The sequence below is a fragment of the Homo sapiens genome, chromosome 11 (genome assembly GCF_000001405.40).
Source record: "Homo sapiens chromosome 11, GRCh38.p14 Primary Assembly".
Classification (NCBI taxonomy): domain Eukaryota; kingdom Metazoa; phylum Chordata; class Mammalia; order Primates; family Hominidae; genus Homo; species Homo sapiens.
The window spans coordinates 41,770,090-41,794,941 of record NC_000011.10 but is presented as its reverse complement, the minus strand read 5'-3'; the positions used below and the strand labels follow the sequence as shown (position 1 = coordinate 41,794,941).

Sequence of the window (24,852 nt, the reverse complement as noted above, 5' to 3'; positions counted from 1 at the left end):
AAAACAAAAAACAAAACAAAACAGGAAAACTCTCCTCATTTATTTTTGAAGTTTACTCCAAAGATGAACAAGTATTTTACTATTTCATATTAATACTGTACAAAATTTTTACTTAAAAAAATCACATTATACCTTTGCATCATGGTGTTATTAATACTAAATGTAATTTTAACAAAGTCTTATAAACAAATTCATGCAATCTCAGTCACTTTTTTACCACATGTGATAAAATTTTTATAACCTTTCCTAACTTCTTAGAATTTTTTATTTCCTTTCTATATCCATTCAGTTTTATCTATCATTCATTTTTTATTCCTTCACTTTAAAACAATCTTTCAATAATCTGTAAACTAGACAAAATAATTTTCCTTTAACAAAAATAACATTCTTATTTGTTTTATAACCATCCTAATGAAAAACACATCTTACTTTTCTTTCAAACTTTGTGTGCAAAATTTTTTCTCTTATATCTAGTAGTTTTCATTACATATATTCACTACAGCCTTAAACATCACCTTAATTTCCAGTGAAAAACCTAGGAAGTAAGCAATTTTAATTGTTATGTATCGAGTGAAGAGTCCTGGAGAGAGGACACAGCTATTAAGACAATCATCAGAGGATCTAATCCTTTCCAGCATGGCCAGGAGGCACACCTGGGCCAGGGGGGAGGTATTGGGCTTGGAGCAAGCTCCCTTAAGTCCTGCTCCTCCAGGATCACCCCCATCTTCCTATCCAGCTTCAGCCTCTCACTTGCCCACTCCTAGAAATACTCACCTTAAACATGCTGCAGTCTCATTCTTACCCCTTCAACAAATGCCCAATGAATTTGGGCCCAATAAGGTCCAGGTCTCCTTCTCCCATAACATTTCCCTGCTCTGAAGAGGTATGTCTAACTGCTGTTAGAATATGGAAGATGACCAGTTTTACCTGCTTCCTTCTGACAGGGGGCATTGTTTTGGGGGATAACAGCAGTCAGATTCGTCCCAGGGGTGTATCTAAGGGTTCCCAGCAAAGGGGAGCCATTGCCCGAGGCTCTAGTTGCCCGACCATTTAGAGTTTCATGGCTTCTAGGCATGAGAAAAAATAAATAAATGTTATAAAGTTAAGTATGCATGGGTTAAACATGTGTATTATATAAGGAAAAAATTAGTGCCATAGATTACAGTGACAAGAAGTAAAATATACTAACAACAACATTGTATTCTGAGCTGTTCCACCCTGCTGAAAGAAATTAAACCTTGTATGGGAGCAGTTAAACTTTAGAAGAGAGATAACTGTTCTTGCCATATCTTTAGCAGTTAACAGGTGCACCCTGGGAATCCTGGGGTTTGTGGGCTTGCCTGGTGGCCATTAAAGTTTCTGGTTTTTTCCTGTATTTCCTCTCTTTTTCCTGGGCCTCCCTGTCTCTATTATAAAAGACAGAGGTGGCCAGTTTCAGGAGGTCCTCTAGTGTATTGTCTGGTTCAGAACACATTTCTGCAACTCCCTCCTGATGTCAGGAGCTGCCTGATTAATAAATTTATCCTTTAGGATTAGTTGTCCCTTGACTGAATCAGGAGATAGAGAGGTGTGCTTTACCCAGGCCTCTCTTAGCCTCTCCAGGAAGGCAGTGGGGTTTTCATCAAATCCCTGGTCGATCATAGACAACTTATTATAACCGAGAGGCTTTGTCTTAGTCCCATGTAAGCCCTCCATTATGCATGCCTGGAAGTGTCTCCTCTTCCAGTCTTCCATCTTGTCACTGGGATCCCATTTAGGGTCATGCACTGGTACTGCTTCTTTTCCAGTTCGATAATATTCATCCCCTCCCCTGACACTCTATGTGACACAAAGCTCATCCCCAAATCTCTCTGCTGCTTTCAAAGCAGCATGTTTCTCAGTGACCAGCAGGGTCTGATTCAAAAGTAACATAACGTCTCTCAAGGAGAGTTCAAATATTTTAGTGAAATTCTAGAAAGCATTGATATCTCTATCAGGGTCATCTGAGAATTTGCCATGATCCCCCTTAATTTGCTTTAAGTCCTGTAGGGAGAAGGGGACCTGGACCTTACTGGTCCAGTAAGGTCACTCCCTGGAGGGGAAATAATGAGACTGGGTCTTAAGGCGAGTATTTCTAGGATGGGGAAAGTGACAGTCTGAAGCTGGATAGGAAGCTCAAGGGGGACCTGGAGGAACAGGGCTTGAGGGAGCTGGCTCCTCTGCTGGGGGTGCCTCTCGGACATGAATCTTTAATCCCCTGGGCTTGCCCCTTACAGCCTTCCCTGAGATGGCAAACAGGAGGGCTGGATCAATCCCACATTGTCGGCAAAGGTCGCGATTGCCTTACAAGGTATAGAAAGTCTGCACATGTGAGGCCTCAGACCATGTGTCCTCACATCTACATAAAAGTTCCAACTGCTGGATGGTATCAAATGAATGGTTCCTTCCTGAGATCAAGCCAGTCCTCCCTGTAAAACAAAATTTGGCCAAGCCCTTGTTCAGAATCCTCCAGATTCTGAGAGTCAAAGCAGTTCCAATGGTTCAGGATCTACCCTATTTAAGTTTAAGCTGGGGGTGATGAAGAGAACTGGTTTCCCATTCTGAAAGACAGGGAATTGAGGTGTCCCTCATTCCCTTCCTTCTTTCAGCTAACATTCAGCGTGTGATGGAGAGAGAAAGCAAGCATCCTGTCTTCACTTTCCACCCCTTATCCCTGAGCCCCAGTGACCTTGGCAGGTGCCAGACATAGGTACTAATGAGGTATGTACCCATGAAGCAGGGAAAACCTGGAGAATAGAAATTAACCACCCTCACCTATGCCTTCATTTCTCCCTGCTGTCAGCAAATCTTGAGTTCCCTGGGCCTGTTTATGCCATGAACTATGGGCTCCTTCTGTGGGGTGGGGTTGAGTCAGCAAGAATTGGCCTTGCCCACTTACATTGTGCCTGTTGCCTGACTTTGGATACCTCCAACCTGTTTTTTTCTTTCTACAACTTCAGTCTGAAGCTTGGAATCAAGTTTGGGACTGAAAATATATTTTAGAGGCTGTTTTTATCTGTTTAGAGTGTCTCAAATGTGCCCTGCTAAATTTACATTTCTCAGCCAGCAGGGGTTGTTCCTCTTCCTCTGCTAACTTACTGATCAGAAACAGAGCTGGAAGTGGGGAGCCCTCTCACTTAGAAAAGAATTAAAAAAAGAGAAAAACCGTTTAAGGGGCAAAATGGAAAGATCTTGGGGGAAGAAACCCTCACTTAATGCTTGTGGGTTCCTCTAACCCTTCCCCCCAGTTCAAACTGGGTTGAATTCCTCTGCCAGGGGAGAAATCTTCTGTTGGAGTGGCAGGCAAGAAGTGCCCATCCATTGGCCACTCATGGCCATTGGACTTGGCCTTTGCCTGCTGTGGGCATGCCCAGGTGCCAGAGCTGGGAGAGTAAAGGGTAAGAGGAGGTACTCTAAACTATGTGTGCCTGTGGCTGTCCAGGTGAAGGCATACATGGAACCTCTAGGAAAAATTTGTCTGACTTACACCTTTGGCAGCTGAGCCAAATGCTTATTTTATTGCCACAGCCTGTAGCAAAACTCTTAACATAAAGAAAGAGATAAGAGCCATTTTAAACTGTGTGAGGGAGGAAAAGAGGCAAAATCAGAGAGTTTTGACTGGCCTGGTTAGGGCAGGGTTTTTAAAAACTCTGTGAAGGGAAACAGAGCCTCTTTCTCGGAGGAAAGAGAGAAAAGCGGCAGAGTTTTGGAAAAGAGGCAGACCTGACAGTTTTACATTCACTCACATTCACTTTCCACAATCCTGGACAAGCCCCCAGTTGAAACAGGAAAAGTTCCCTTTTCACCCTTGCAGGGCATGCAATGGAGATGTGGCTCACTTCTTCAGCACCCCACTGTTCAAACCTCTAGGGGAGCATACAGATGGGCAGGCTGTGGGGCTCCAACCCCACAGTAGTGTCTAGGGTGAACGTTTACAGCTGAAGCCTCAGTGGGCATGTGTTACAGAGTGCTCTTTTAGTTTAGCTGTCCATAGGCAGCTTGTGTTAGTCAATTGGACCCCTGCCTTATATCAAGGACAGAGGGCTTTCTGTACCCCAAGGTTTTTGCCTTGGTGTACTAGAAGAATCAGATCACACATGGGTTTGGAGAATAAGTGCAAGGCTTTATTGAGTGGAAGTAGCTCTCAGCAGATGGGGGAGCCAGAAGGGAGATGGTTTTACCCTGGAGTCAGGCTGCTCAGGCTCCTCTGACTGCCCTGGACAAACCCCACCTCCTTCCCCTGGTGGATGGCCTGCTAGCATGTCAGCATCTGTCATGTGCTTTTTTGCCTGTGTGCTCCGCTTGATGTCTTCTCACCGTCCAGCTGCTTGTGTCTTCATCCACTGATGTGTTCCTCTCAATGTCCAGCCACTTGTGCATCTGCCCATTAGGATCTCAGAATTTGTATAGGCACAAGATGGGTGCACGACAGGCCAGGGTGGTCTTGGGAAACGCAACATTTGGGTGCAAAGACAGGAGTGCCTGTCCTCACCTAGGCCCATGGGCATAACCCTTGGGGTGGAGCCCTAGACAAAGATCTGCCCTTCTCCTCCCAGTACTTCCTTGCCCCCATTCTGTATCAATACCAGGTACCTCCCAAAGCCAAAAATATTAGGCCATTCAATGCAAATGAAAGCAGAGGTTTAGACCTAAGAAAAACCTTCCCATGGTTTTGGGAGCTCCAGGAGGAAAACAAAACCCTAAAAAGGAGATTTGTGGTACCTTTCTTCATGTTCCTCAAGAAGTCTCAGAGTCACTAGACATCTCTTTTAAGTCTCTTTATGTTGAATTGAAAGTGGAAAAGAGAAAAGAGGAGTGGAAGGAAATGAAAGAACAAGTCTTAGAGGAGCTAATTTAGAGATTTTAAGCTTCCCAGAAAGGCCAATGAATTTTACACTTTTGTCAGCAAAAATTATGCCAACAGAAAAAGAAAAAGCAAACAAAAGGATCAAATATATAATTAAAAAGTGGTTGTAGTTGATTTAAAAAAAATTCAGAAACAGGACACAGAAGAAAAAAAAACAGAAAGATATATATATATCCTGAATATCATCTTTTCATTAAGCTGACTTCTAACCATAGCTGACTTCTTATAAATGTTTTTCCAAATCTCTTATTATCAGATTTTAGCCAGGAGAAACATCCAATATTCCTGACTTTTGAACTTTTTACCAAATGTATCTTCCAAGTGACTCATCAAAACAAAAGCCTTAACTAAGGTTATGCCTTAACTAAGGTTATACCTTAACCAAGAATGCACAAGCATCTTCAAAGAGGTGCAAAGGATCCTCTCAAGATCCGGAAGCACTCAAAGACACTTCAAAGAAACGAAAGTTTTGCTAGCTACAACTGGGATACAATGCACATTTTTGTCTTGTCTGGACATGTTCTCTAGAATCTTAGCTTCTCAGCTGACCTTCTCCACACAAACGCTGACCATGCCCATCCATATGCCCTGCAGATGAAAGACTAAAAGAGACAGTTGATAAGACAGAAAATAAAAAGGAAGGGAAATAATCAATAACAAATAGATATCCCAAAAAGTCAAGAGTCACACAAATATCTGAACAATGCTTTACTCAATTTTTCTTTTCCAGAGTTAAAGGACTTATATCTGCCGAGACTACTTCCCTGACCAGGAATCAAACCTGAGCCATGGCAGTGAAAGTGCAAATCCCAGCTACTAGACCACAGGGTGGTGTGTCTTATTTTGCAAATTCCACAGGGAATCAAGGGAGGTAGTTTGAGCATAGAAGGAATTTTAACTTGCTTTTAGGTCAGTCTGCTCTTTTATTTTATTGAGATAATTTCTAAATCTAGTCACGACGCTATTATGTGTCTTTTTAAAAATTATTTGATGCTCCCATAAATACACATAAGGCAATTGTTTAAAATGAGAGATCAAGAAAATATAGGAGTCATTCAAATTTAAAACATCTGTCTTTTGGCCACCGATAACTGGAATTCCCAATGGCGTACATATTCTAATAGTAACTCAATTCAATAAGCCTCTTCATTGAGTCTGGGAAATAATTTTCCAGGTTTACAATAAGTTTTTACCATATTAGCAAGAGGGTGCAAAGAGTGTCAGTGGTATGGGATGGGTATAGCTAGGAGGGGCAGGTGACACAGTGAGAGGTGACAGCGTGCTGGCAGTCCTCAGAGCCCTCACTTGCTCTCGGTGACTCCTCTGCCTGGGCTCCCACTTTGGCGGCACTTGAGGAGCCCTTCAGCCCACCGCTGCACTGTGGGAGCCCCTTTCTGGGCTGGCCAAGGCCAGAGCCGGCTCCCTCAGCTTGCAGGGAGGTGTGGAGGGAGAGGCGCAAGCAGGAACCCGGGCTGTGCGCCCTGCTTGCGGGCCAGCTGGGGCTCCAGGTGGGCGTGGGCTTGGCAGGCCCCACACTCGGAGCAGCTGGCCGGCCCTGCCGGCCCTGGGCACTGAGGGGCTTAGCACCCAGGCCAGTGGCTGCAGAGGGTGTACTGCGTCCCCCAGCAGTGCCGGCCCACTGGTGCTGCACTCGATTTCTCACCGGGCCTGAGCTGCCTTTCCGTGGGGTAGGGCTCGGGACCTGCCAGCCCGCCATGCCCGAGCCTCCCACCCCCTCCATGGGCTCCTGTGCGGCCCAAGCATCCCGAACGAGCACCGCCCCCTGCTCCAGGGCGCCCAGTCCCATCGACCGCCCAAGGGCTGAGGAGTGTGAGCGCATGGCGCAGGACTGGCAGGCAGCTCCACTTGCGGCCCAGTGTGGGATCCACTGGGTGAACCCAGCTGGGCTCCTGAGTCTGGTGGGGACGTGGAGAGTCTTTATGTCTAGCTCAGGGATTGTAAACACACCAATCAGCACCCTGTGTCTAGCTCAGGGTTTGTGAGTGCACCAATCGACACTCTGTATCTAGCTGCTCTGGTGGGGCCTTGGAGAACCTTTATGTCTAGCTCAGGGATTGTAAATACACCAATCAGCACTCTGTATCTAGCTCAAGGTTTGTAAACACACCAATCAGCACCCTGTGTTTAGCTCAAGGTTTGTGAATGCACCAATCGACACTCTGTATCTAGCTGCTCTGGTGTGGCCTTCGAGAACATTATGTGTCCATACTCTGTATCTAACTAATCTGATGGGGACATGGAGAACGTTTATATCTAGCTCAGGGATTGTAAACGCACCAATCAGCACCCTGTCAAAACAGACCACTGGGCTCTACCAATCAGCAGGATGTGGGTGGGGCCAAATAAGAGAATAAAAGCAGGCTGCGGGAACCAGCAGTGGCAACCTGCTCGGGTCCCCTTCTGTACTGTGGAAGCTTTGTTCTTTCGCTCTTTGCAATAAATCTTGCTACTGCTCACTCTTTGGGTCCACACTGCTTTTATGAGCTGTAACACTCACTGCGAAGATCTGCAGCTTCACTCCTGAAGCCAGCAAGACCACGAGCCCACAGGGAGGAGCGAACAACTCTAGACGCGCTGCCTTAAGAGCTGTAACACTCACCTCGAAGGTCTGCTGCTTCACTCCTGAGCCAGCGAAACCACGAACCCGCCAGAAGGAAGAAACTCCAAACACATCTGAACATCAGAAGGAACAAACTCCAGATGCGCCACCTTAAGAGCTGTAACACTCACGGCAAGGGTCCGTGGCTTCATTCTTGAAGTCAGTGAGACCAAGAACCCACCAATTCCGGACACAACAGGATAAGGAAAAATAGATAAAGGCATACTTGACTCAAGATTTCTTTCATTTTTAGAAGCTTCTGATTTTTTCTCCCAATTTTTAATTTGGCATCGATATCTCTTATAGTTTCTAGTTCAGATTCTTAGAGTCTTTTATCTACCTCAAGATAACAAATTAAAGTAGAAGTTCCTTTCAGGCTGTTTAATCTTTCCATTTAGCTGCTCAAATTGTCCAGGAAGGAGAGCAAGTTTTGGGAAATCAAAAGATCCCAGTTCGTCACTGTAATTACAGATCACTTCTAGTGATGTTGGTCCATTGAGAAAGAAATTTACAAGATGAAGTACTATAATTTTTGTGCATGAAACCAGCAGAGGTTCCAGAAGAGGCTGACTCACCACCTATACCCTTTGAAGTAAAGTCCCCATGAGTACTCCCCCAAAGGGGAAAAATCACTTTGTTGATAACTGGCAACAAAGGACCCTCAATAAAGGCCTGATCTCAACAAAGGTGGGAGGTGGGGGAAATAAGAGGACTCACCAACAAGTCTAGGGCATCTGGGAGGCAATGGAACACAAGAGGTTCTTGCAGGTTCTGTGCTCAAATTTGCAGCTGCACTGGAACACAGAGAAGGGGAATGACTTTTTATCCTGCTCTATTTGAACACCATGTAGTGTCAACCAAGAAAAGGCAAAAGACCAAACCGTAAAGCAGTAAGTCAAGGTGTTTATTGGGGTCTTAAGTATTGCAATTTGTAAGACACAGATTTGACTACATGCTAAATTGTGTTCCAAAGAGATGGAGAGCAGTAGGGGGTTTTGAAAAGGAAGCTAAAAGTGATTACACAAGTTGCTTTGAAAGAATTATCATTGTTGAAGGCAGCTGGCTTTGTATATGTGTGCATATTTCATGGGTTATTTCTGTTCAGGAGTTGCAGTGCTGGTGAAATTCAGCTGTTTTCTGGGTTGTTGTGGTTGTAGTGGCTTGGCCCAGTTCAAAAGTTCAAGGCAATTTCCTGTGTTTTTTTGTTTGTTTTGTTTGGTTTTTTTGCAACGTTGCAGGCTTTGCAGGTAGTCCTTTTTAGAATGGCTTTCCAATTCCATTTTAGAGCTCTCAACCAGAGTGATGCCATCTTGTATGTCACATTTTTACTCTTTCCTCCACTGCTCTGATCCATAAATTCTAGCAATGTTGTCCTCTGTATACTCTCTACTCTGATTTCTCAATGCAACAAAACATGTGGGCTTTATTTGCATTCTTCCCCTCTGCCTTGTGGCCTGGAAACTGCTTCTATACAGTAAGTTTGTGCAATCACAGGGCTAACCTTGTTTGTTAATGTTCTCTCAGGTATCAAGTTTTGTGCTGCCTGCTTTCCATTGTCTGAAAACCCTTGTTTTATATATTTGATCTGATTTTCTAATTGTTTTTAGCAGGAAGATAAATCCAGTCCTTGTTAACTCCATTATGTCCTGAAGTGAATGTCTTTAATTTACTCATTTACTTTATGTACTTTGTAAAAATCTTACCTGCACTAAAATGTAAGCTTAATAAGGGCTCAGATATCTATGACGGATTTATTCGCTGAGGTACCCCAATCACCTAGAATGGTTTCTGGTACATAGTAAATGTTAAAAGTAGTTGTTGGATGAATAAGCAAATGAATAAATTAGTATCATTTGATAGTATGTGTTCTCATTCTTTATAGTATATTATTTTCATTTTCCAAAGAAAACACTGGTCCAAGTGAAAGTTTTTATCTACTTGACTAGTTTCCGTATAGCCCACATTTTGCCACTGTTTAGCAAATTTATATAAATTAATACTTGGAACGTTTTAAAAATTATTTAACCTTGATGATGATATTTATGATGATAAAGAGGTATAATGAAAAACCAACCCTTTTCTCTCTACCATGCTTACATCTGATGCTTCCAGAATACTTTGTTTCTGACACCAGATGTAAGGGGTTTTTTCCCACAGCAAGCAATTCTCCAATTCTCTGGGGACACAAGCTGGCTGTCCTATAATTCAATTCAATTCTGACACTATCCACCTGGAGTTAGTGCAGATCTCACAGGTTAAGGACTTTACAATACTGTCCTCCACTCCCACTTCAGACATGAGTCATAAGTCCAGGTCACCACCTGTGCTTCTGACAAACCAGGTATAAATCAGAGTTTTACATCCTCCTCAGTATGAGTCATTTGTTAGAATGGCTCACAGAACTCAGAATTACAGTTTACTTACTAGATTCCTGGTTTATTACGAAGGGTACAACTCAGAAACAGCCATACAGTAGAGATGTATAGGGCAAAGTATGGGGGAAGGGTGCAGAGATTCCGTACCCTCCCCAGACATGCCACTCTCTCAGTACTATGTGTTTGCCAAGCTGGATGCTCTCTGAAACCCATCTTTTGTGTTTGTCTGGAGGCTTCATTACTAGGTATGATTAAATATCATTGGTCATTGGTGATCAACTCAACCTTCAGGTCCTCTCAGTCTCAGGAGGTCAGTGGTGGGACAAGAGTTGTAATCCTCTAATCACCTGATTGGTTCCCCTGGCAGCCAGCCCCCATTCTGAGGTTCGCCAGGAGCTCCCAGCCACCAGTCATCTCATTAGCACACTAAAAGACTCATCACTGGAGATTCCAAATACTTTAGAAGTAGTATGCCAGGAAAAAAAATATAGATATCTATTCTTTATTTTATCACAGTATCTCAAGAGAAAAAGGTAATAGAGTATTCTAAAACTTCAAGGGTTTCATAAAGATCTACAATTAGGTAATAGAACATTTAAGGTCAGCTTTCTTGTAGGAAGAGATAGACTTGAATATTTATGCTTAAATAATTTTGAAATCTCTCCTCCCTTTATTTCCCACTCCCCATCCACTTACAGCAGGCATTCTGCAGCCAGGAATCTCTATTAATATGAAAACTCAGCTGGAGAAAACTTAATCAAACAGTCAGTCAATTTTTAAATTAAAAAAATAATAAAACACCTCTAGCCTTAAAAATTACTGTCGTTAATCAGTACTGGGAACAGCAGCAAATAATAAATGAACCTAGAACACCAATGGCAAAGAAAAAAGTTTATGACCTTGTTCAGAAAGACTTGTCCTGGAAAGGCCTCAACTAACAGGAAAAAAAAAAAGTGCTATTTGCCTCAAGACTTGAAAAGGATTTTTTTTTTTTTTTAAAAAGTAGCAACAGAGACCAATAGGGGGAAAAATTACCATCTTAAATACATTCCTACACATGTCAGAAATGAACTGACTTTTGAAAGTTATTACCTATTAATTGGAAAATCACAGAGCAGATGGAACCAATTAATCTACAATTACAGAATCACCACAATCCAAACAAAAATAATTAACTGATTTACAAGATATAATTTTTTAGGAAACTCTTCCTCATGTCTCTAAACTTGGGCAACAAACACAATATTTCATAGGCATAGGAGAGTTTAAGCCATCCCTGGGGGCTAAATTTCAGGATAAAAAGGGAGTTGAAGTGTGCAGTGTTTACTACCAAAGAAAAAATACAGAGATAAGGTATGTTAAGAACATTTATTTTAGAATGTTTGCTTTATATTGACTGTACATGAGGGATTGTGTTAGGTGCTCATTATACAACAGTGAACAGTGATCATCAACAAATATGGATCCTGCTATCATGAAGCCTACAGTCTAGTGAGAGGCAAACAGCAAATCACTACCAATAATGTCAAATTGCAACTGACACTGTGAAGAAGAACTATATAGTATATTATGAAACTGAAGGATGAAGATTTGCAAAAATTAGGGAGGCTGATGAAAGTTTTCCCAAAAGTATCGTTTCAGGTTAAATACTTGGAATTATCAAGAAGAAAGAAGGGCTAGGACAGGAAGGGTATTTTGACATATGGAACAGCCTATGCAAAGGCCTTATAGTAAAGGTAAATATTGCTACATGGGGGCCTTTAAAAGCCAGTGTGACTAAAATGCTGAAAGAGAGAGGAAGTTTGCTTATAACTACAGGGTAAAGCTTTCTAAGACTTGCAGAAAAAGTTTGATTTTGTCTTTCTATAAGCATTAGAAAATTATTGAAAGATTTCAGGGGCCACGGAATGCAGAGATTGAAGTGGTTGGATTTATTCCTTACAAGAGAGCCCTAGCTGGAGTAAGGAAAATGGATTAAAGCGACTTCAGTAGTTGTGAATCGTATATTTTCTAGACTCGGATTTTCCACTTGACCATACTCCATTTTGAATTATGCCTTACCCTGTTTTCATAAGTCTTGCCTTCTAAATAGATTTTCATCTATCTCAGGGCAGGTCATTTAACTTTTATTTCTTTCTTCTCCATATAGCTACCCATGAAGCTTTCAAAAAGCTGAGATTTAATCTTAGCACACTCATGCTTAAAATAAAGTTCACAACATTTAGAATGATGCCCCAGGCTTTTTGTGATCCAACCAGATGTTATCTTTCTAGCTTTATCTTTACCTCTCTCTCTGTATACATTGTGTTTCAATCTCATTAAACTACTTATAATTCCTGAGGTACATCATGCTCTTCTTTCATATTTTTGTAAAACTTATTGTTTAATCTCTCTTTCCAGACTATCCTTGCTTTCTTCCCCACTACATAACATTTTACTTATTCTTCTATTTTTCTTTTTCTTTTTTTTTTTTTAAGACAGAGGCTCACTCTGTCACCCAGGCTTGAGTGCAGTGGCACAATCTCGGCTCACTGCAACCTCTGCTGCCCAGGTTCAAGCAATTCTCCTGCCTCAGCCTCCCGAGGAGCTGAGATTACAGGCACCTGCCACCGCGCCCGGCTAATTTTTGTATTTTTTGTAGAGACGGGGTTTCACCATATTGGTCAGGCTGGTCTTGAACTCCTGACCTAATGATCCACCCGCCTCAGCCTCCCAAAGTGCTGGGATTACAGGCTTGTGCCACCGCGCCCGGCCTTATTCTTTTATTTTTCTATGTGAACACATCTTTGGTACTTCTCCATTCCTGCCCACAATAATTCATTTGTCTTATATTTTTGCATAGTGCTTTGTATATACCACTATATGCAGTTCCAACCCTATGATTTGATGTGAGTACCCTGGATCCTGAGATTGTGTGCTATTTATTTTTGTTATCTCAGAGCTCACCGTTATGCCTAGCACATAGTAGTGTTTCAACAGATATTGTTTGTATTATTTTCAGTTTGTTTCCTTACCAAATTCAATACTGGGCAGAGTGTTTAATGATGTCAACAAGCAGAAAGTTAGGGATCACAAAGGAATAAAGAAAATTTTGAAAGCCTCTAAAAAATTGTGACAAGCTCAGGTAATAACAAAGGCCCACAGGGTAAAAAGTATCATAATTTTCTAAATGACTGGCAAAATAGATAAAATATTGTAGCAGATGCTGCAAGAGTTATGAACTTTGTGCTCTAGGACAAATACTCAAAAAGATATATCAGGAAAATAAATATTTGCTAGACTGATAAAGAGTCTAACAAACTCATCTATATAAAACAATGAACTCATCTATATAGAAAAATAATAAGAGGGAGTGTCAATATTAGCATTCAGATATATCCCCTGATTCAGAAATTTCCCAATTCCCCTGGAGCCATTCTTAGGCTGCTTACTCTCATAACTGCAACCTGAACAACGTGGATTTAACTCTCTTTGCGGAGCTGACTACAGATGTCTCAATAACTATGTTTTTATAGGTATTTACTGCTTTATACTATGTGGAAAACCTGCCAGCTGGTACCCAGAGCCATCATTTCCTTCTTTATTTCTTGGTTATTAAAAAGAAAGAAAGAAAGATAATTTGTCAAACATTTAAATAAATTTATGGATAGAAAGTTAATAGAAAAATTTATCCTTTGGGTGTTTCCATCAGATTAAATATTAATGAATATTAGCTGTATAAACAATATATTCTCAGATATGATATTTTTATAGTCTGATTAAGAAATAGAGCATCGATGATCCATTCCCTAAACATACCATGTGCATTTACTAAATGTAAGGTCTTGGGACAAATGGAGATGAAGAAAATGTTTCCTGGTATAATGGCATGAGATCTAAGTGTCCAATTTTTGTATTTTCAAGACACAGTAACCCCCAAATACAAAATCTCAAAAAAATAAGTTTCAAAGTTGAGTCATATTAATACTATATATGCCTTTGATAGATGTCATGAAAATGGCACTTTAAATTTGTGGATTTCCTCCCCAAAACACATCACCTTAGTGTAATCATGATAAAAGCATCAGACAAATACCAGTTAAGAAATAACCTACAAAATATCTAACCAGTATTTCTTAAAACTCTGAGGGTAACCTAAAACCAGTAAAGTCTGAAAAACTCTCACAGCCAAAAGGGGCCTAAGGAGACCTGAGAAGCAAATATAATGTAGTATCCTAGATGGTAGGCTGGAAGAGAAAGAAGATATTAGTCAAAAACTGAATGAGTGGCCAGGTGCGGTGGCTCATGCCTGTAATCCCAGCACTTTGGAAGGCTGAGGAGGGCAAATCATGAGGTCAGGGGTTGGAGACCAGCTTGATCCATATGGTGAAACCCCGTCTCTACTAAAAATACAAAAATTAGCCCGGCGTGGTGGTGCACACCTGTAATTCAAGCTACTCAGGAGGCTGAGGCAGGAGAATTGCTTGAACCCAGGAGGCGGAGGTTGCAGTGAGCCAAGATGGCACCACTGCACTCCAGCCTGGACATCAGAGCAAAACTCCATCTCGAAAAATAAATAAATAGGGAGGCTGAGGCAGGAGAATGGCATGAACCCCAGAGGTGGAGCTTGCTGTGAGCCGAGATCGTGCCACTGCACTCCAGCCTGGGCGACAGAGCGAGACTCCATCTCAAAAAATAATAATAATAATAAAATAAATAAATAAATAAATAAAAACTGGACAAGTGAATAAAATCTCAATGAAGTATGGACTTCAGTTAACAATGTATCCATATTGGTTTATTAATTATAACCAATGTAGCATACTAACATTTGATGATGATAACGAGCAAAACTGTGTATAGAGTATATGGACAATCTCCATACTATCTTTGCAATTTTTCTGTAAATATAAATTCTCTAAATATAAAACCATTCTAAAACAAAAAAGTTATTGAGATTTTTTAAAAAATGTTCAAATAAATTGAAATTCAGACATTAAAGATACACTTTTTTTATATGAGTATCCCCCATGCATTTTGGGGCATATTTATAGTAAAATAAAAAATGGGGGTGTTGTTTATCTAAATTTTAAATTTAACTGGGTACACTGTATTTTATGCGGCAATTCAACATCTGGAGTTGATGTCTCCCAAAATAATGGTTTTCCACAAGTTTCATTCCAATATTATTGTCTCCAGAAAAAAGTAAAAACAGAATTAGTTTCAATGCAACCTAAGCAGAGAAATGTGAACTTTGCTCCAGGAAGTAATAGCCTCCTACTAAAGGAGCTGTGGGACCTATCACCACTGTAAACCAAGGTAAGGTGTGGAGGATGTTATACTGTTGAGGCTGGGGCATGAATACAGGAGTGCTTTTTGATATGAGGACACTCAGTTATGATTTAGGATTCAGTGTTGCATTGAGGACAGGTGGAGCTGCTTCCAATGTTTGTTGGTGTTTGTTTATTGAGGCAGGTCTCAATAAATTTTATAGAAGTTTATTTTGCCAAGGTTAAGGGCATGCCCAGAAGAAAAGAACACAGAGTCACAGAAACAGTCTAAAGTCTGTGGCTTCTCTCCAAAAATGATTTTGAGAACTTCAATATTTAAAGAAAGAAAGTGGGCTGATGGGAAAAGAGGGAGAGTATGGTAATCTGCGAGTTGCAAGAGAAAAGGAGTGAATAGAGGGATTGTCACTTATGCTCAGTAAATCAGCATTTTACATAAGATAAGGTGAACTTAAAGTAGCTACCTGTGGAGATATTTAATCTTTATTTGTACTCTCTGCTTAGGAACAAAAGAAAAGGCAGTTTCTTGCATGACAGATTTCAGCTTATTTTTTTTCCTTTCGGCATAGTGAATTGGGGTCCTGAGTTTTTATTTTCCTTTAACATTGAGAAAGCCTTTTAAAATTGGAATAAGAAAATGGTTTTCAGTTAAAGAAGTGGAGGCTTCAAACTTCTTTTGAAGAGGAGAGATGAAGGGACCAGAAGGTCAAAGAGGTGGGCTGTTAGAAAAGATTTATTAAATAAGACTTAAGAACCTATCACTTGCGGCACTTTGGGAGGCTGTGGTGGGCGGATCACAAGGTCAGAAGATGGAGACCATTCTGGCTAACATGGTGAAACCCCGTCTCTACTATAAATACAAAAAAATTAGCTGGGCGTGGTGGCAGGCGCCTGTAGTCCCAGCTACGGGAGGCTGAGGCAGGAGAATGGTGTGAACCCAGGAGGTGGAGGTTGCAGTGAGCAGAGATCATGCCACTTCACTACAGCCTGGGCAACAGAGCGAGACTCTGTCTCAAAAAAAAAAAAAAAACTACTACCACTTGAACATGTTTCTCAGGGAATGCTTACAATAATGGCTCTACAACTTTAATGTTGTCAACAAAAAGAGTTAAACTCTGTAAAATATTTTAAGAGATTTATTCTGAGCCAAATATGAATGACCCTGGCCCATGACACAGACCTCAGGAGGTCCTGAGAACACGTGCCCAAGGTGGTCAGGGTGCAGCATGAGACATCAAGCAAATATGTTTAAGAAATACATTGGTTTGGTCCAGAAAGGTGGGACAAGTTAAAGGTTGGGGGAGTGGGGGTGTGGGGCTTCCAGGATACAGGTAAATTTAAATATTTTCTGGTTGACAATTGTTTGAGTTTGTCTAAAGACCAGGGATCAATAGAAAGCAAATGTTCTGGTTAAGACAAAAGATTTTGGAGACCAGGGTTCTTTTTTTAAAATTTTATTTTATTTTATTTTATTTATTTATTTATTTATTTGTATTATACTTTAAGTTCTAGGGTACATGTGCACAACGTGCAGGTTTGTTATATATGTATACATATGCCGTGTTGGTGTGCTGCACCCATTAACTCCTCATTTACATTAGGTATATCTCCTAATGCTATCCCACCCCACTCCCCCCACCCCACGACAGGTCCTGGTGTGTGATGTTCCCCGCCCTGTGTCCAAGTGTTCTCATTGTTCAATTCCCACTTATGAGTGAGAACATGCAGTGTTTGGTTTTCTGTCCTTGTGATAGTTTGCTCAGAATAGTTCTTGTGAAGACTTATAGAGGCTTGCCTTAGAGACAATAGATGACAAATATTTCCTATTCAGACCTTCAAAAAGTGCTAGACTCTTAGTTACTCTCCTCAGGATTGGGAGAGCCTGTAAGAAAAAGATCTAGCAAGCTTAATAGAGATTCTTTACAGCTGCAAATTTTCCCCCACAAAGGATGACTTTGCAGGGCCATTTCAAAATAAGGAAAAGAAACATGCTTTGGGGTAAAATATTTTGACTTTCTTCTTTGTGAGATGATGTTATGCCAGAGTCAGATTGGAAGGTAAGTCGTGATATATAGGCTTAAAAAAAACCCATCTGATGAGAATTTATGTTTTGTAGGGCATGACTCCCCAGACCACTTAGATAAGAATTTGGGCAAGACAAGAAAAAAAAAAAAAAATCAGAGCTTAGTCCTAAATGTGCACCCAAAGTACCTGGAGATTTTGTTAAAATGCAAATTCTTATTCAATATATCTGGAGTAGGACTTGAGATTGTGCTACTGATATGAGAACCACACTTTTAGTGTAGACCTAACAGATAGTACCTTTAGTAAGATTTTAAGAAATGCAGTTGTGCATCAGCATGTTGGAAAAGCTTGCAGTTGCCTAGTTTCTGAAGGCTGGGGTTCATAGTGAGAGATGCCACAGTGAAATTGGTGTTTCTAATATTATAGAGATGAAGAAAATCTCAGAATGGCAGACTACAATTGACAACACTGAATTGACATGGAGGCTAGAGGGAAAATAGGGTTGTCTTTACCTGCAGGAATCTAGGATGATGGCTAATAGATAATAAAGTTCCTATGAACAGAATGTATTGTTAACTCAACCATGGCATTGATTTGTATAATAAAAAGAAAGAGAGGAGAGAGAGGGTGGGATGGAGAGACAGAGAAGAAAGAAAGAAAAGAAAGAGAGAGAAGAAAGAGAAGAAAGAAAGAGAAAGAAAGAAAAAGAAAGGGAGAGAGAGAAGGGAGGAAGGGAGGGAGAGAGAGAGGGGAAGGAAGGAGAAAGAGGGAAGGAAGGAAGGAAAAAAGAAAGAAAAAGAAAAAGAGAAAGAAAAAATTGAGAACTCTTGTCAGCCACTGAATGAAAAATAACTCGCCATAGCCCTGAGCTCTAGAGCCTATTGATTCAAAGAGAAGCTGAGTCTAATTATGAAAAAGGATCCTGAAAAGCTACTGCAAATGTATAAAAAAATAGTTCTCTATTTCTTCTCTGAAGAGATCTAGGCCATTTGTTGTGATTGGTGTATGTCCTAGAGAATGTAAGTCCCTGAATGATTATTGGGTTTTTTCTTTCTTTGAACTTGCAGGTCAATAATATCAGCCATTGCTTTCAGCCAGGGCTTGTTTCCAAATAGCCTTAAAATGTTCAAATTACTAATGAGGGCATCAAAGTTGGAGTTGAACTATGTTGTTTAGAAAATTTTAACCACTGCAGAAATGACTCAATACTCACACACCAACATTTCAGGACTCTACATTCATTTTAGGAAGTATGAGGGGCATAAGTTTGTGTGTGCGGCATGTTTAACATCACACATTTATATATATTCATGAACACAAAAATAAAAATTGACACTTATTTGTTAATCCCCATTTATTTTTTTCCAAGATAGAAACTTATGTTATTATCACTCTCTATTGTGATAATTTATTTCTAAACAATTTTTTTAAGACCTTGGGGGCTGAAATGTTTCCTCATTATATGCAGTATCTACTTCTATTCATTCTTCCTTTGATTTTCTTCACTTTTCCCAGTGTCTTGACTTAATTATGCTAAATATTCAAATATAAAATAGTCTGAGGTTTTTTCCTCTGAGTTCTCCTAAATTACACAGATAATTTCAAGCAATGAATAAATTTCTAGCAATGAATAAAACATTTGTGAAACTGAAAGTAATTTTTTAAATAAATGGGATTTTTCGGGTATGTGTGTTATTTTCATCTTTTTTCCTTTTTATTGAAGTATAGCATGCATAAATAAAAGGGTACATATCTTGGATGTGCAGTACAATGGATTTCCAAAAAGGATCACACTCATGTAACAAGAAATATTAATATTGCCTGAATTAAGCAATATTAATATTTTGATGCTATTGTAATATCTTTTAAATTTTTTATTTTTAGACGCTTATTGTTGGCATATAAATTTAAAATTGATTATGAATTTTGAAAAAAAGTAGAGCATCATCTTCATCCCAGAAGTCACCCTCACTCCCCATCCCTGTTACCAAGACACACAAAGGCAACTATTACTCTCACTTCAGCACATTTAAATAATGTTTCCTGGTCTTCAATTTTATGTGAATGGAATTATGTATTATGTACTATGTTTGTATCCTGACTTCTTTTGCTCAACATATTGTTTTTGAAATCCACCCATGTTGCCGCATGTAATTGCAGTTTATTTACTTTCATTACTGAATTCCATTTCATTATAATCCTTTCCATTATTTATGGTTGTTTCCATTTGCAGTCTATTACAAATAATGCTCCTATGAACATACTTGTATAATATTTTGGTGAATGTAAGTATGGAATTCTTTTAGATATACACCAGGGAATGGAATTACTGTGCCCTAAATTATGAGCTAATTCAGTTTTAGTATATACTGCCAAAGAGTTTCCTAAAGTGGCTGTCTCAATTTATACTCTCACCAGAAAAGTATGAAGATGCTTACTAACATTTGGAATTGTCAAACTTATTTATTCATTTTAGTCTTTCTGGGAGTTTTAGTTTGCATTTCCATGATGGCATATAATGTTAAACATATTTTCCTAAGTTTACTGGACATTTGGATATTTTTTAAAATTAAATATCTGTGCAAGAATGTTGTCCATTTTTTCCTATTGATTTGTCATTTTCACATTTAGGTATAAAATTATTTATACATCCTTAATATTGTTCTTTTAACAGATATATACATTAGAAATATTTTCTCCCATATTAGCTTGCTTGTGACATGTTGAGGGAAGTCAGGGACCCCGAATGGAGGGACTGGCTGGAGCCATGGCAGAGGAACATAAATTGTGAAGATTTCATGGACATTTATCAGTTCCCAAATAATACTTTTATAATTTCTTATGCCTGTCTTTACTTTAATCTCTTAATCCAGTTACCTTCATAAGCTGAGGATGTACGTCACCTCAGGACCACTGTGATAATTGTGTTAACTTACAAATTGATTGTAAAACGTGTGTTTGAACAATATGAAATCAGTGCACCTTGAAAAAGAACAGATTAACAGCGATTTTTAGAGAACAAGGGAAGACAACCTTAAGGTCTGACTGCCTGTGGGGTCGGACAAAAAGAGCCATATTTTTCTTCTTACAGAGAGCCTATAAATGGACGTGCAAGTAGGGAAGATTTCACTAAGTTCTTTTCCTAGCAAGGAGTATTAATATTAATACCCGGGGGAAGGAATGCATTCCTGGGGGGAGGTCTATAAATGGCTGCTCTGGGAATGTCTGTCTTATGCAGTTGAGATAAGGACTGAGATACGCCCTGGTCTCCTGCAGTACCTTCAGGCTTATTAGGGTGGGGAAAAACTCCGCCCTGGTAAATTTGTGGTCAGACCGGTTCTCTGCTCTCAGACCCTGTTTTCTGTTGTTTAAGATGTTTATCAAGACAATATGTGCACCGCTGAACATAGACCTTACCAGTAGTTCTGCTTTTGCCCTTTGTCCTGTTCTCTCAGAAGCATGTGATCTTTGTTAGACCCTTATTAGTAGTTCTACTTTTTGCCCTTTGAAGCATGTGATCTTTGTACCTACTCCCTGTTCTTACACCCCCTCCCCTTTTGAAACACTTAATAAAAACTTGCTGGTCTGAGACTCAGGTGGGCATCACGGTCCTACCGATATGTGATGTCACCCCCAGCGGCCCAGCTGTAAAATTCTTCTCTTTGTACTGTCTCTCTTTATTTCTCAGTTGGCCGACACTTATGGAAAAGAGAAATAACTTATGTTGAAATATTTGGGGTGGGTTCCCCCAATAGTGACACTCTTAATTATGTCTTTGAATTCATTTTAAATTTAGTATACACCTCTTTATCAAGTTTTCTTTTTAAGTGAATATTTTCTGTTCTTATTAAAAAAACTTTGGCTACCTTAAAATAGTAAGAGTATTTTTATATTTTTTTCTAAAAGTTTTATTGTTTTTTCCACATTTAGATCTACAAATCACCTATAGTTTTTTTTTTTTTTTTTTTTTTTTTTTTTTTTTTTTTGAGAAGGAGTTTTGCTCTTGTCACACAGGCTAAAGTGCAATGGCATAATCTCGGGTCACTGCAACCTTTGGTTCCCAGGTTCAAGTGATTCTCCTGCCTCAGCTTCCCAAGTAGCTGGGATTACAGGTGTTCACCACTACACCCAGCTAATTTTTGTATTTTTATTAGAGACAGCGTTTCACCATGTTCACCAGGCTGGTCTTGAACTCCTGACCTCAGGTGACCTGCCTGCCTCAGCCTCCCAAAGTGCTGGGATTACAGGCATGAGCCACTGTGCCCAGACAGTTGATTCTAATATATTGTATAAGGAACAAGATAAGATTTATTATTTTTCTATGTGAATATTTATTAAAACTTACACCATTTATTGAAAATACCATTTTTCCCCACTGAATTGCAGTGTTTCCTGCAAAAAATAAAGAGATCACTGACATCTAAGTGAGTCCAGTTCTAGATTTTCTCCACAGTTACATTGGTCAATGTGCTTATCTGTATGTCAACACCACACTATTTTAATTCTTACTATAGCATTATGTAAAGTGGACATTTATATGATAGTCCTCTAACTTCATTATTCAGTATTGCCTTAGTTATTCTGTGTCCTTTGCATAAATTTCTGTATAACTTTTAGATTCAGAGTCTTTTCACACACACACACGTGTATTGCACACATATACATACACACAAATCTGGTTATTTTATTTGAAAGGCATTTTAATCTACAGATAAATTTGGAGAGAATTTATGTCTTTAAAATACTGAGTCCTTCAATCCATGCACATTAAATGTTTCTTCATCTTTAAAATTAACTTTATTGTGATATAATTTACACAATAAACTGCTTCCATTTAAAGTGTACAGTTTGCTAAAGTTGACAGATGTATATACCCATAAAACCATAACCACACTCAAGACACATAAAATTTCCTTCACCTTCTAAGGATCCCCATATTTCTTTATGGTTCATTCCTCCCTCAGCTTTTAGTTGCAGGCAAAACTGATCTGCTTCTTGTCACTAGAAATTATTGTGTATTTGCTACATATGTGGCTCCTTTCACTCAGTATAATGATTTTGAGATTCATTTATGTTATTGTGTTTATCAATAGCTAATTGCCTTACATTTCCTCTCTTCTATAGATATAACATTGTTTATCAATTCAATTGTTAATAGAAATTTAGGTTGTTTCCAATTTGGGGCTCCTGTAAACAAAGCATTTCTTTTAGGTAAATACATAGTAGACTCTGTGGGCCATGTGATAGGTATATATTTGTGTTTTTATAATATCAGCAAACAGTTTTCCAAAGTGGTTATACCATTTTACATTCCAGAGGAATGTGAGAATTTCTTTCCTGTTTCAGAAGCTTGCTAATAACTTTAAACAAGCAAGTTTTACATTTTACCTGTAAAATTATATTTGTGTAAAATTCATGTTGTTTCCTCACTACTGTATAATCTCCCTACTATCTAAGCAATTGGCTATTTCACTTAATCCTCATGAAATATTCTGATGTAGATATTATTCCATTTTTATGTTTTATGAAACTCATGTATACAGAAGTTGAGCTGAGTACCTAAATTTTTGCAGCTAGAGAGTGGTGGAGTTGAAGTTTGAATTCATGTGTCACTGTTAGTCTTTGGGATCTTTTATTATACCATGCCATTTTAAAAAGTACAGTCTTCAGTAAGAATAAAGTCATATGTATAGAATTTTGAATAAGCATTGTAATGTTGTCTAATTTTTCCCTACTATATTAACAGACAGAAAGATAGCATAGTGCCTGAGAGAAGCTCAGTTTCCAGGTTCACATCTTAGCTGATGTGGAGGCTAAAGCAACTCCATCTTGGATGCTAATTTGCCATGTTGGTTTCTGACTAGCCCCAGTTCCAGGAAGTCCTTAAGGTTTCCTATTAACCTATTGTTTTTTATCTAACAGCAGGTACTTACTATCAAACATGCCCTCAGGTCAAGCAACCTTGATGTTATCCTATTTCAGTAGGATAACATCCTACACATCCCTTCTGAACCACATTTCCTGTGGCATATAAGCCCTAGACAAGATTCACCATCTTGTCTCGCTGCCATCCAAGACACAGACAAGCGTTCTGTTAATAAGTCCCTATTAAACACTTATTTCTGGAAACTGGATTTCTCAGCTTCTTTCTTTGGCCTCTCAGCTTCCTCTGAATTTGGGGTAGGTGTTGCATAGACCTGTGCTCTAAAAAACAGCTGGTTATCAGCTACAAACATTTGCACAGTCATTTACACATTGACTGACTTAACTTTTTAAATGTTTTTAATAATAGAACTTTTCTTATAGGGCTTTCATGTCAATGCAATGTAATTAATGCAGGTAAATGCTTATCGTAGTTTCTGACACATAGGAAAAATGAATAAGTATCACTGCCTCTATAACCCAGTGCTAAATAAATAGTAAGAATAACAGAAGCAAACAGAACTAAAATTAAGAAAAAAACTCTTCAAAAACTGCTTAATTTTATAATATGTTTAAGATTTTAGACTCAAAATTAAACATAAATATTAAAGTTAATATGAAATACATAATTCTATTCATTTGAAGTTCTCCTTTTTTTTTGAGACAAAGTCTCATTCTTGTCACCCAAGCTGGAGTGCAATGCTGCGATCTTGGCTCACTGCAACCTCCACCTCCCAGGCTCCCAGGTTCAAGAAATTCTCCTGCCTCAGCCTCCTGAGTAGCTAGGATTACAGGTGCCTGCCACCACACCTGGCTAATTTTTGTATTGTCAGTAGAGACAGGGTTTCACCATGTTGGCCAGGCTGTTCTTGAACTCCTGACCTCAGGCAATCTGCCTATGTCAGCCTCTCAAAGTGCTGGGATTACAGGCATTAGCCACCATGCCTGGCCTCTCCTTTTTATAATTTGACTGTTAGCATCCACTCCCTCTGAGAGTAAGAGCTATAACTACTGCATAAAGCTAGCGTTCCAAGTGGTCACATTTCCCATAAAATAGAGAGTGCTGTATAGAGAACACTTTATGTAGAAGAAAGCCAGAGAGAAGATATCCAATTGAGGACATGGAGAACAATAAGTAACTGACATTGCAAGAGCACCTGAGGACAGACTTACCTCACATGTTTTTTCTTTGTTTCTGAGATAGATCAGATGGGATTTCTGAGGGTTTTACTCAAAAGAGATTTACCTAATACACAGGTTGATTGTTTTTGCTGTGCAATCAACACCCCTTTCCTGAGCTCCTTCTCCTCATTGTAGTTTGTCTATCCATTTCTTCAAGGGATGCCACATTTTACTACAGATGTAGGAATTATCATTCAAAAGTTATTATTGAGGAAAAAAATAAAAATTACTAATTTACTTAGTGGAAGAATATCAGGAGTTTATTTCCCAGGAATGATGATGAACGTAAGTGTATTGTTGGGAACAAGCCCCCCAAAATCTGGCCATAAACTGGCCCCAAAACTGGCCATAAACAAAATCTCTGCAGCACTGTGACATGTTCATGATGGCCATAAAGCCCACGCTGGAAGGTTGTGGGTTTACTGGAATGAGGGCAAGGAACACCTGGCCCTCCCAGGGTGGAAAACCGCTTAAAGGCATTCTTAAGCCACAAACAATAGCATGAGCGATCTGTGCCTTAAGGACATACTCCTGCTGCAGTTAACTAGCCCAACCTATTCCTTTAATTCGGCCCAT

At 39.5% G+C, this 24,852-nt stretch overlaps 1 long non-coding RNA gene across 1 annotated transcript in view, besides 2 other annotated features; it reads right to left on the bottom strand.

The window, feature by feature from the left end:
* The window catches only part of LINC01499 (long intergenic non-protein coding RNA 1499), a 121,875-nt gene that overhangs the window by 41,501 nt on the left and 55,522 nt on the right, over positions 1–24,852 (bottom strand). The window lies entirely within an intron of this gene.
* Positions 5,784–6,470: an enhancer, noted in NCBI's record as "H3K27ac-H3K4me1 hESC enhancer chr11:41810022-41810708 (GRCh37/hg19 assembly coordinates)". NCBI's record gives its function as "activates a minimal SCP1, AML or CMV promoter by ChIP-STARR-seq in naive H9 embryonic stem cells {active_cell/tissue: H9 hESC(naive)}" and the evidence as "EXISTENCE:reporter gene assay evidence [ECO:0000049][PMID:30033119]".
* Positions 6,471–7,158: an enhancer, noted in NCBI's record as "H3K27ac-H3K4me1 hESC enhancer chr11:41809334-41810021 (GRCh37/hg19 assembly coordinates)". NCBI's record gives its function as "activates a minimal SCP1, AML or CMV promoter by ChIP-STARR-seq in naive and primed H9 embryonic stem cells {active_cell/tissue: H9 hESC(naive and primed)}" and the evidence as "EXISTENCE:reporter gene assay evidence [ECO:0000049][PMID:30033119]".